Source organism: Homo sapiens, chromosome 4 (assembly GCF_000001405.40).
Source record: "Homo sapiens chromosome 4, GRCh38.p14 Primary Assembly".
In the NCBI taxonomy this organism is placed as follows: Eukaryota; Metazoa; Chordata; class Mammalia; order Primates; family Hominidae; genus Homo; species Homo sapiens.
In genome coordinates, this window is record NC_000004.12 from 44,619,275 (window position 1) to 44,631,817 (window position 12,543).

At 36.2% G+C, this 12,543-nt stretch overlaps 1 protein-coding gene across 3 annotated transcripts in view; it reads right to left on the minus strand.

The window, feature by feature from the left end:
• Positions 1 to 2,813: 2,813 nt before the first annotated feature.
• YIPF7 (Yip1 domain family member 7) overlaps positions 2,814 to 12,543 on the minus strand; it is a 40,112-nt gene continuing 30,382 nt past the window's right edge. For all 3 annotated transcript variants that reach the window (XM_047450094.1, NM_182592.3, XM_011513679.3), the window contains 3 exons: positions 10,129 to 10,274; positions 5,327 to 5,508; positions 2,814 to 3,302 (listed from right to left, as the gene is read on the minus strand). In XM_047450094.1, coding sequence (XP_047306050.1) covers positions 3,140 to 3,302; positions 5,327 to 5,508; positions 10,129 to 10,274 — 491 coding nt within the window. In that variant the 3' untranslated portion in view covers positions 2,814 to 3,139. The remainder of the gene's footprint in view (positions 3,303 to 5,326; positions 5,509 to 10,128; positions 10,275 to 12,543) is intronic.

The following is a 12,543-nucleotide window of genomic DNA, read 5'->3' on the forward strand; positions in this document are numbered from 1 at the left end:
GAGACTCTGCCTCAAAAAAAAAAAAAAAAAAAAAAAAAAAAAAAAAAAAAAAAAAAGATCCATAATATAAGTATACTTCTAAGCAAAGGGGTGATTTTATAGAGAAATCATTACAATAAATGGAATTCTTGCTTCACCATGAAGGATGTCAGTAGAACTGTCTCAGCCCAAATAGAAAGACCAAGAACTTAAGAAAATTCTGTGCTAATTAACATGTCTATTAATGGGTTATTAGACCGTAACAGTCTAACGTTTACTACAATCCTGCCTTCTTTTCAACATACTCCTACCTTAGAATTCTTCTCATACTTTTGTAATTATCTCATATTAATTGATTGCATATTGTTTATTTTTGTCCACTGCCAATGTATTTCCATTAGGGCTGCAACCATCACCTATCTTATTCACCATAGTGAACAATGCCCAATCACAGTCTCATTCGTTTGTTTATTCATTAATTGAATAAATAAATATTTATCTCCTATTCCTTATCATGAACTGTTGCATATAGACAAGGTCTTTGGCCTCAGAGTGTTTATTTTCTGCGGAGTTGGGGTAGGATAGAAAGCAAGTATCCAAATAAATAACATAATTTCACATAATTGTAACAGCTACTGCAGAGGGTGGACTGAGCAAATCTGGGTGGATGTACTGTTGAAAAAAAAAAGCCAGTGAAGGCCTCTCTCAGGAGGTAACATATAAACAGAGACGTTGATAATATGAAAGATCTGAGGGGAAAATGTTGCAAGTAGACTGAATTTGTATAAAGATCCTGAAGTGGATAAAGTTGGTGGTTTGAGAAGAAGCAATAAAACCAGCGACCAAGAGAGAGAATGGAAGGAGATGATGTCACAAAAGCAAGACATAGTGAGATCGTGCAGGCAAGGCCTTCTTGTCTCACACTTTTCAAACTTAGCTGTGCATGTAAATCATCTGGAATCTTTTTAAAATTCAGACTCTGATTCAGGAAGTCTGGGCCAGGGCCTGAGATTCTGAATTCCTAACAAGCTTCCAAGGGATGCTAATGCTGTTATTCTGGGGACCACTCTGAAAAGGAAGCTTCTGAGTTATAAAAAGGAGGTTTAGTTTTATTGTAAATATGAATAAAAGCCATGAAAGGGCCTTGGGATGACATAATTGCTTTTCATTTTCAAAGGATTACACCGGTGTGAGGAAAAGCTTGTGGGGGAGAAAGTGTGGAAGCAGGAAGCCATTAGGAAATTGCTTCCGTGAGGCAACAGAAGAGGGTGGTTCAGAGTAGCCCAGGCAACGAAGGAGCCCAGGACACACGGTCACGTTTGGGACATGTTTTGATTACATAGTCAAAATAATTGATGGACTAGATATTGGATGTGAAAGTCAGAGTAATCAAGACTGACTACTCTGCAAATGAACCAGTGAGTGATTTGTGGTTCTTGTTATAAAGATGAGAAAATATGGAAGAAGGACAGCTAGGACAGGATAGAAGTCAAGGGTTTGGTTTCAGATATGCTATTATTGAGAATATCATATTAATGATCAAATAGAAATATTAAGTATAAGTTGTGTATATATGTTAAGAGCTTAGGGAAGAGCATTGAATGTAGATGGAAATTTGGGGGTCACTAGATTTTAAAGTTATTCAATTAAATGAGCTCATCTAGCAGGGGAGAATTAGAGAAGAGATTTAAGTCTGAGAAGAAGAAGAAAGATCAGCCAAGGAGACTGAAAAGAAGCTACTTGTGAGGTAGGAAAATAATTCAAGAACATGTGACACTCTAGAATTTAAGTGAAGAAGTGCTTCAGCATAGTGGCTAATGGAGATTGGGTAATCAAATAAATACCTGTCAGGGTTCAAATAAAATGAAACTGAGAATTGACCATTGAATGTTGCAAGATGTGGGCATTGTTGCTAACTTGACAAAGGGGTCTTGGTGAATAGGATGATAAATTATTGCCTGGAATGTAGGAAAGCAAGAATGGGAGATGATAAAGTAGAAGCAGAGACAATAGAAAACTCTTTCAAGAATTTTTGCAATAAAAAGGAGCAGAGAATGAGCCATAATTGGAGAAAGATGTTAAATCAAAGGAGTTTTATTTTAAGGTAAGAGATATTGAAACATGTTCACGTGCTGACATAAATGATAGGTGATGAGAAAATATGGGTTATGCAGGTGGAGGGGCTGGCTGTGGAGAGAAGAGAGAGATGAGAGGAAAAGAAGAGTATATATGGGTTAAGATGCATGTATGTTGAGAGGGAAGAAAGTGAGAAGACAAGCACTTTTCTTCTAGATGTTTCTGTTTTGCAATAAAATAAGAATCAACAAACAGTAGAAAATGAGGAAGGAGTATTGGGGATTTCAGCAGTGAAGAATTGGTGGGATATATTCATCTCAGATAGCATGGAGGCAAATTTAAGAGAATGTAGTGGGATTCAAGGGTAGTACTGAGGAGCCATTTAAGACATGGTAATACAATAAACATGAAGTAAGTGGGATTTCTTCTATTAACATTCACCTACTTAGGGAGAAAATGGCAAGGTTGCTGAGGATACATGCAAGAAAGAAATTATAGTAATGAACCATGGCATCTAAACCAAGTAAGAAGGAAGTGAGGGCCTGAAAAAGTGGTGAGTCAATGCATTATATAAATGAGACTGAAGAATAGTTATTAAAGAAGTGAATTGAAAGGCAAGAGTTTCTTTGATTCTTTAGGTAAATAAAACCCTATATAACATACCCCTGAACTCTCCAAAGGTGCAGAACAGTGCAGTTTTTAGCCACATGCACACAGCTTGAGCTGTCATGAAAGTTTCTCAAAAGGCTTACTAGAGATTTCCTTTTAGTAAACATATGAGTTTATTTACTTACTTTTCTCAGAAATACCTCTATTGAGAAAAGCAGGGTTGATCAGTACAGCAACTGTATCCCTTTTGATTTTAAGTATTTTGAAATGTTTTAATGCACCAAACTCAAAAGCAAAACATCATTCAAACCAACAGGCTATTAGAGCACCACCCTTAAGTGCTGCTTTGTCTCTCTGCTTATTACTCTCTCAAAAGCAATAAAACAGAAATCATATCACCAAATTTGAATGTTAATATATTTCCAAAATAATCTGGACAGCAAACAGAGTCTTGAAATGCCATCTCAAACATTCTTTAGAAAATTGTTAGGAGGGCAAAAAGTCCATAAAGTATGGCACAAGGGTAGGCAACAAGAAGCTGCTGTCCTTCCATGTGCAAGGCTGCAATGAAGATCTTGGAAGCTGAGAGACTACACCAGCCAATGATGACCAGGGATGACATGATTCCAAAGATGCCCCTGCAGCAAAGACAAAGAAATGATTGCCTGTGCCAGTAGAAAAGAGATTATTGAGTTAAAGTTGCCTCTGAAATATCCTTGGCACAATATTTATAACTACTTTCCCGAGTGGTAAAATGAAAATGATAAAATATATGAACAAAAGCCCTTGGCCAGTTAGGCATTTTTTAGTCAAATTCATTACAGAGACTAAATATTTTATATTTCTGTTAAACCTGAATTAGAAAAAAACAGTAGAAGTCACCTGCAGTCACTCTGTTCTCATCTGTCAATATTCAAATCCTAACTCCTAAAATTCCCTTAAATACAGCATTGAGAGCCTTCACTTCCTTATAGCTACAGATTTCCTTTTCCCTACTTTCCTCAAAAATTGGCCAACAGCGTAGGAGAAAGATAGACAGAGTTACATTCCAGTGGGGTGCCTAGTTCCCACTACTTCCAGATCTACTTTTCAGGTTTTTGTCGGACGTCACAAAAAGCCTGACACAGCTCAAGTAAGGAACACATGGGACAGGAAAGCACATATGTGTGTGGCTTCCCACCTCATCCTTGAAGTTCCATTTTGTATATTTTTAGAATGCTGAAATAGATTTGTTCAACCGGTGTCTTCAAAAAGTAACTGTGGAGGCAAGTGAGCAAATAAGATAGTTAAGTCTAGTCACTTGGAGAGTAATAAGGCAGGAAGGGTGGTCGAGAGTGAATTTCCTTTCTTATGTGCTAAATAGAATGCATTATTTAGAAAAATAAGACATAAGAGCTGGGAGAAATCTCAGGAGATGTCTACTGCCCAGTTTTAAAGCATAAAGTGATGATAAAAATTGCATGGCAAAGTGGACAATAGGTCAAGATCTCTCCTAGCATAGTACTCTTTTCACCACCAAACTAAACTGCCTTACTTGATCTTGGTTTGACACTGAAGTTGGGAATTATGTTTATTATTTGTGAAAATGATAGAAATATCTGCTTCTAATAATTGAACCAAAGCAAAACAAGTGAAAAGCTCCACAGTATAGCTTCTAATGCCTCAGACCATTAATAAAACAAACATATTTTTAAAACACCAAATAAGTACTACATTTATTGATTTAAATAAAACCTATTAGGGATAATTTCTAGAGTTGTTTAATGTACTGTATTCTTAGTAATGGTCTTGAGTTGCACATACTAATTGCCTAAATTAAGGAAGAAAAAAGAAAAAAACATATTGACTGAGCATGTATGATATAAAGTTCTCCAACATTAATATCCTCATCAGGGTTCCTGGGAATTCTACGTGGCAAAGAGCCCAGCTGAGAAAGAATAGTTGTTTTCAGCCCAGAAGGCAGAGTGCCTGAAAGCTGAAGCAATTTATCAGTGTTCACCAGGCACTTACTCTTCCAAAATCAAACAAGTGAAGTTCCTGTAGTTCTTATTTTACACATGACAATAGTTCACATTGAAAAATCTGACAACTTAAAAAGTGCCAGTTTTTTTTTCTCTCTCTCTTTTTTTTTTTTTTTTTATTTTGAGGTGGAGTTTCACTCTTGTTGCCCAGGCTGGAGTGCAGTGGTGCGATCTCGGCTCACTGCAACCTCCGCCTCTGGGTTCAAGCGATTCTCCTGCCTCAGCCTCCCGAGTAGATGGGATTACAGGCCTGCGCCACCATGCCTGGCTAATTTTGTATTTTTAGTAGAGATGGGGTTTCTCCACGCTGGTTAGGCTGGTCTCGAACTCCCGACCTCAGGTGATTCGCCCACCTCGGCCTCCCAAAGTGCTGGGATTACAAGCATGAGCCACTGCGCCTGGCCAAAAAGTGTCAGTTTTAAAGATAACTTGGATTAATTTATTTTTTAAGTAATTGAAGTAAGAACAGCACCTGGGCCAAAACTAACCTACTTTTCTTAATCTATGAGTAGCTTTTAATAGCCATGGTTTTCCCAGTTCCACTACCAAAACAATCAGGAAGGGCTCAACTTTTTCATGGCTGTGGCAAACCTTGGCTATGATTGTGCATGTGGGGTCATTGAGAGCACACAGACACTTACTGCAGTGAAAAGAACATGGCGCAACCAGACAGGATGACCATGGGGAGCAGGCAGTAACCCAGCACGCTGGCCACACAGCCGTACGACACCCCTGAAGAGCTCATCAGGTTCAGCAAGGCATGAATCACAAGGCAGCCAATGGCACTCATGCCATACACATAACCAAACTGAACTTTTCCTGCCTGAAACGACGTGAAGAAAAAACAGTTTGAACACACAATGGACACCGAGAGGAAATCTGAATATCATGAAGCAGAGAGCATCTTAGAGTCAGTTCAGTGCTGTTCCATGTCTTTGTAGGACTGTCATCAGGAGACTGGAAGTTCTGGGAAAAACATGGCCAATGGTTTGAATTCAGATTCTGAAAACAAACACTTCTGACTAGAGTTAGGATGGGATAAGCGTGCTACAAAAAAGATTGAATATTTCTAGACTTATATTTTTTACTCTAAATTGTCCATTACGAGTACAAGGCATAAGTAAGACTATATTTTGTTCCCATATTTATTAAACAAATAAGTGATTGAACAGAGGAATAAAAAATCCAATTTTAGTCTTGGAGATTTACAAGGCATATTAGTAAAATTAGCAAACACCTACAGGGTTTACCATGTCAGATCCCATTCTAAGTGTGCTACATATATTTATGTAATCCACATAACAACCTTATGAAATCAGTATCATTATTACACCAACTTTACACATGAGGAAACTGAGGTGCAGAGATGATAAGTACCTTGCCCAAGGTAATATAACGCTAAGCAATGGAGGTTGGCTTTTAACCTAGGTATTTCAGCTCTAAAATTTAGGTCCTGAACATCAACGGGAACTCTTACAAGTCCTATCCCAAAATAATGGCACATATTTAACCCTATTTAATTTAGCATTTAGTTGACCACAGAATCCTTTTATGTTTCATGATACCTATTGCCAGGTTGATTAACCACACCTTATGAAAAGGTGATTTATATAAACTAACTGGTAATGAATTATAAAAGGTGTACTGTCAAAGGAAGTTAGTAGTGTTCGGAGTACACTACCAATCTTCTGAGGAAAACTCATAAAAACAGCCATTGCTCATAAAGCTAGTGTTTTGTGAATACAAGCCCCAATAAATTCATTCAGAGAACTATTACTTCAGAAGTAAGTACTATTACTTACAGCGTACCATTACTTCAGAAGAGGATATTTTAATGTTTGCTATCTGAGAATACCAAAGCTACAGTTAAAAAAATTCATTAATTTTTTATATTTACATTATGCTGATCATAACTTCTAGATAAAAGTTGAATAGGCTGTCTCTGGTTTTCATGGGAATTAGACAAAAACAATGAAGGATCTGATAAATTGATTCAGGAGAGAAGGAGCTTTTTAGCTGCCACTTTTCCTTCTCCATGCTATTATCTATGAAGTATTTTAGAGATATTTATTTTACAATTAATCAGGGTAATGGAGAATGTCATAGCTATTTTAATGTTCAAAATTGTTTACCTATTCTGAATTCTTCTTCCTCTGCAGTTGGAGAGTTGATCACTACGAAGTCCTTTCATAAATATTCCTGACTTTTGCTGGCAGAATTGTCTCCAGCATTAGCCACTGATAAATTCTTATGATACCTTCTGTATGCTTGTGACTATTTAATGAAATAATGCTAATGATGGACATGCTAACAGAAATACATCAGCTATCCACTGCTTTATTGGGTGAGTTTGCTCCACTTGCAAAATAGTGACAATTTCACATCATTGTCATGCATTAGAGAAACCATCTACTTAATATTTTACTTGGATGGGATAAATCTGAGGTAGGGCTAGTCCTAATGGTATAGGACAACTCTCTTACACCCAAAGGACATCTAACTGGACCTTCCTGTCCTGAAAAGGCAGTTCTACAAATGGAGTGGGGCAAATAGGGAGTAGATGAAGCTAATTTGGTAGTAAAGTTGTGTCTTTTCATGGCAGTTATGTGCTTCTCTCATCATGTCTTTCTCTTGTTAGTTTGTCCCGTTTAAGTTGTAATTCCATTTAGCCGAAATCACGGCCATTTTAAAAAAGTGTTTCAAATTCTAACAAGGGCTTATAATTGAAATAGAAAATAAATGTTCTATTTTTTTAACCTCAAAATTTTTAAGGATCCTCCCTATTCCATCCTCATTAGCACATCTTTTTTTTTTTTTTTTTTTTTTTTTTTTTTGTGATGGAGTCTCGCTCTTTCGCCCAGGCCGGAGGGCAGTGGTGCTAACTCGGCTCACTGCAAGCTCCACCTCCTGGGTTCATTCCATTCTCCTGCTTCAGCCTCCCGCGTAGCTGGGACTACAGGTGCCTGCCACCACACCTGGCTAATTTTCTGTATTTTTTTTTTTTAGTACAGACGGGGTTTCACTGTATTAGCCAGGATGGTCTCGATCTCCTGAGCTCGTGATCCGCCCGCCTCGGCCTCCCAAAGTGCTGGGATTACAGGCATGAGCCACCGCACCAGGCCCCACATCTTGATTTAAAATACTTAGTGTTCTTCTGATTGCACTTTTATATTGGCCATGCATATTGCTTTTTCAGACCACACTCTTGGCCCTACCAGAAAAGTTACATGGAGCAAAAGTTTTAAACCATTTGTCTTCTTGGTGTTGGAAAAGAAAATAATTTTGGGGAAAAGAATAAGTAAAACTAAATTTGTGCTAAGTGCTTGAAGTTGTTTTCTTTGGTTTGTCTCCTTTCGCCTGAAGAAAGCCTACTGAAAGAATTGTGTCTTATGTCAACATAAATCTTAAAGGAGGAAGAGTATGTGACTATGACTCTTATGTCTCCAGAGATAATAAGCAGATTTGGATATTGATTCTGGATTTAGTTTTGCTTTCTCTAGTAAAATTCCTGTGTCAGCCGGTAAAATCACTCTTACATTTTAATTCTACATATCCAGGAAAGAATTAACCTATAATCAAATGAATTCTGAGTTAAATCATACTTCAAGTAATATTCAATTGGAGTTTTTGGGGAGTCCTTTTTGCTTTATATCAGAATCAATTTGGAAGTTATCACATCTAATGGTAAACTTTCAAGTGATAATGTTTGCATAAAGACATTCAGAAAATACGTATTTTCACATATTCTCCACAATTTTAGAATTAAATAGAACCTGAAGAGCCACTCAAATAAACTTTTGCCTTGAAGAAAATGAAATGAAAGCCTAGAAATATGAAGCCAAGGGTTAAAGATTACAGCAAGTGGCAAAGCTAGGGTAGATCCAATTTTCTCGCTTCCAGTTAAGAATTTTTTGCCTCTATTGCTTTGTATTTAAAATATAAGAAGGGTTATGTAAATAACTCCAACTAACATTATGCATCCAAGAGAGATCATAATGGAATTGATGCTGTTCTTTAAGGGATAGTAACAGTAATATTCTGCCACAGAACCAACAGCTGCTTTATTACAAATGACTTGTAAAGAAAGATGAGTTAATATATTAAATTGATTGTTTCTGACTATTTGATTAATTGACATGGCCTTACTTAGCAGTTAATCTAAGATTATCAAATTACTGTGACAAAGACAGAAGAAGGGAGGTTAGAGACTAAATTAAAACTCTAGTTGATATAGTGTTTGATTTACAGAGTATTTGCATTTGCTGTAGTACCAAGAAATAAGATGTTATCGCTAAATACTATTGTATTGGATGAATATGACATTATTGGCCATATTGCCTACAGAAACTAGATTGCTATCAGTATTTTGATTGATTATATACAATAATTGAAAAGCAGAATTTTATTTAGTTGCAAATGCATTTTACAACTACTTTTGAAAATTGTATATCCATTGGAAGAAATTATTATTATGGAACATGAAGAGCAGGAAAATGGGGAAGAGGGCTAAATAGTTATTGTAAGAGCTTTTCCTATAATGTTTAATTTCCCATATTATTTCCTCTGCCTGGTTTATCTCTTTGTGTCTTAATGAAACTATACTTTTCAGACTGACTTAACCATCTTTATCATTTTCTGTTTTTAATGTATTGCCACCTCCTCCTTGGTATAAAGTCAGAGACATTTTCTCATTTTTTTCTTCTGCCTTTTTTTCTTAATGAAACATTTTCCTAAACTATGAGCTAGAATGTCTTTTAAACTTTACTTAGGTGGAAGTACATTTTTCTTTACTTTTCTAGTGACCCTTAATATCATTACTTCCAGATATAAAGAATGAAAGCATACATAAGACATATAGTGAAGTCAGGGAACAAATGTCTTCATAAAAGGTGGAAAACTAACATTTTAGAGGAAATATGTAGGTTGAGTAAACAAAACATAGGTTGTCATTGCAAATTAATTTTTCATAGTAGCCTAACCCAAAACAAGGAGATCTGTCTCGTACCTCATAAGATGTTAGAAATAGTCTGGAGATATATCACAGCAAAGAAGATGGTGACCAAAGAGAAGTGACTTCTTCAGTGTCACAATAGAACTCTCACAAAATAACAAAAAATAAAATGTAGGCCTTATATCTCCCAAATCTATGTTTTCCTTCCATTATTCCAGATTTACAGTCTTTTCTTAATAACAAAAAAGACATAAATGATCTCCTGCTTTGATCTGCTTCTTGATTTTTGAAATTCTATTTAAATTTATACTTTTTAGCTGTTGCAATGCATAATGGTAGCATATTTTTGTCACTATGGTTAAATTATTCTCTCTCACTTAAAAAATTCACTATGTAAGGTGACACAGTTTCTCTTATATTTATACAGATTGCTTCAAAGCCAGCACTGGAAAGGACAAGCATTAAAATCTGGTGCTTCCTGTGACACATTACCAGAAGCAAGGTGGCTCCCAGGGCTACGCAAAAAAGAATGGGTCCAGTGAGGTCCGTTTCATTCATAATGCTGCCATCTACTGGCTTCATTGGGTTTAACACTGTCAAAGTTTTTTGCCATATGTGATCAAAATGGATTCCAAGTTCTGTAAAAAGGAAAAAAGATAAATAATATGATAACATAAATATAGAAAAATAAAAATAAGTTACACTCTTTAAAGGTTAACATATCTGATTAATTTACTTAGCATTTTAATCTGATTGTTCTATCATACCTTCTAAAGTTCTATGTTCTGTATTACACAGAAACTCAAGTTCTATGTAACATATAATAATCTTAAAAAACAAACTAAAAAATAATTTGGCTTCCAAAGAATGACTTAAAATAAATATATTAGAGAAACATTTCCATCAAGGAAAACATTCCCTGATTTATGCAGCAAATACAAGCTTTAAATCTAATTGAAAATTGGGAAGTTGGCAATATACAGTAAAAAATAAAATTGTAGCTAACAGATCAAAACTTTCATCCTATTGTCCATCTAGATATTTCCTTTTCCTGCATTTTCTGTTTCTTTTTTATTTCTTTTTCGAGGCAGGGTTTCCCTCTGTCACCCATGCTGGAGTGCAGTGGCACGATCTCAGCTCCTCCGCCTCCTGGGTTCAAGCAATCCTCCTGGCTCAGCCTCTTGAGTAGCTGAGACTATAGGCATGCACCACCACACCTGGTTAATCTTTTTTCTTCCATAGTGGCGAGGTCTCACTATGTTGCCCAGGCTGGTCTAGAGCTCCTGGGCTCCAGGGAGCCTCCTGCCTCGGCCTCCCAAAGTGCTGGGATTACAGACCTTAGCCACCACACCTGGCCCTTTTCCTGTATTTTCAATTGCTGACACTTCTGAAATCCTGTCATATTGGCCATGGCATAATTTTTCAATTAGCAGTACTATAATGAACTAATGAGACTTAGTCCAAGTCTGGGTTTTTACTTCCACTATGCCTAATGAGAAGAGCAATTTTATGCTAAATGCTTGAAACTACACAGAGGGGAAAAGGGCTCTTTCTGTAAGTAAAAGTGATCATGATGTGCATGCATATTTTTGTAAGGTCAATGTACTGTGAAGTTGAGTCTATGCATTCAAAGATTAAATTCTTGAGACGAGTTAACCTTTCTCTTTTATACATGGTAGTATTCAAATAAAATATCCAAAATCAATGAGGTTCAGTGTTCATGAGTCCAAATCCATTTAGAAACTTCTGATTTTTTTTCTCCAATTCCCATTTTTAAAATACTTCTGACTGCTGCCTCATAGGTCCTTCTGCTAGAATCTGCTTCTCTTATTACTATAAAGCAAATACTTAGCCATTTGACATCCCCTGAACATAGAAATAAATATCGATACCAGATCAGTTTCTTTTCTCACCGCTTCTGTAGAGATGAACTAAGATGTATCTAGGGTAGAGAAAGCGAATATTCAAAGAGAAGAGTATGACTTGACTATTTAGGGACCAGCAATCAAATTGGTTATCCTCCTTCTATAATTTCAGAATATCAGTAAGGGTGAGGTGGAGGCTAGGAAGAATGAAAGCTAAAATTTACTGAGTGTTTGCTATGGACTCCACAAGATTTACATACATCGGTCTTATAAATACACAATCAATCAGTTACTATTATTTTATCCCTACTTTATGCATCAGATATATAAGGCTTTGACAGATTAATTTGTCTGAAGACACAAAGCAGTAGTAGAAAACTTGGGTTTCAATGCTGCACAATCTGACTCAAGAAAGCACATGTTTAACCATAGATTTGTGGTCAGGTCAATGTTCATCTACTCTCATAATGGTTGTATTTTGTTTTTAAATGAGCCCAATTCTTCCATGTGAAGGACTGTCTTCCTAAATGTATTTATATGTGGCACTCAACCACCCTTCCAAGCTTTAGTAACCCTGTTTGGTCAGATACAGGGGTATAGCTCAACTTATTTTACAGAGGCACGTATCATCTAAATACCTTGAAAAGTTGACTTTTCTGTACACAGACTACAACATGGACTTCTAATAATCCCTATGACACAGAGGACCCTTATTCTAACAACTCAGAAACTTTCAGAGGGTCAGCTAGACACTGGTCTAAACCAAAAAATAAAGTTCTACTCATTTCATGCCCAGAATGACATCTGTTATTTTAAGCTTGAAAAAAAATTGAATGTAAATTAATAGCAAATAATTTACATTTCTGCTTCCTTGTTTCATCCTTGATTTGCACAGTGCAATTATATATTTATTAATGAACGTATGCTTTGAAGAATATGAGCAGTTCACCAAGCTTAAAAGGAGGTTAGAATGTCTAACGTAATTTTTGAAAGAGAAGAAGACTTTAAAAATTGAGACATACTACATATTTTAAATTAATTA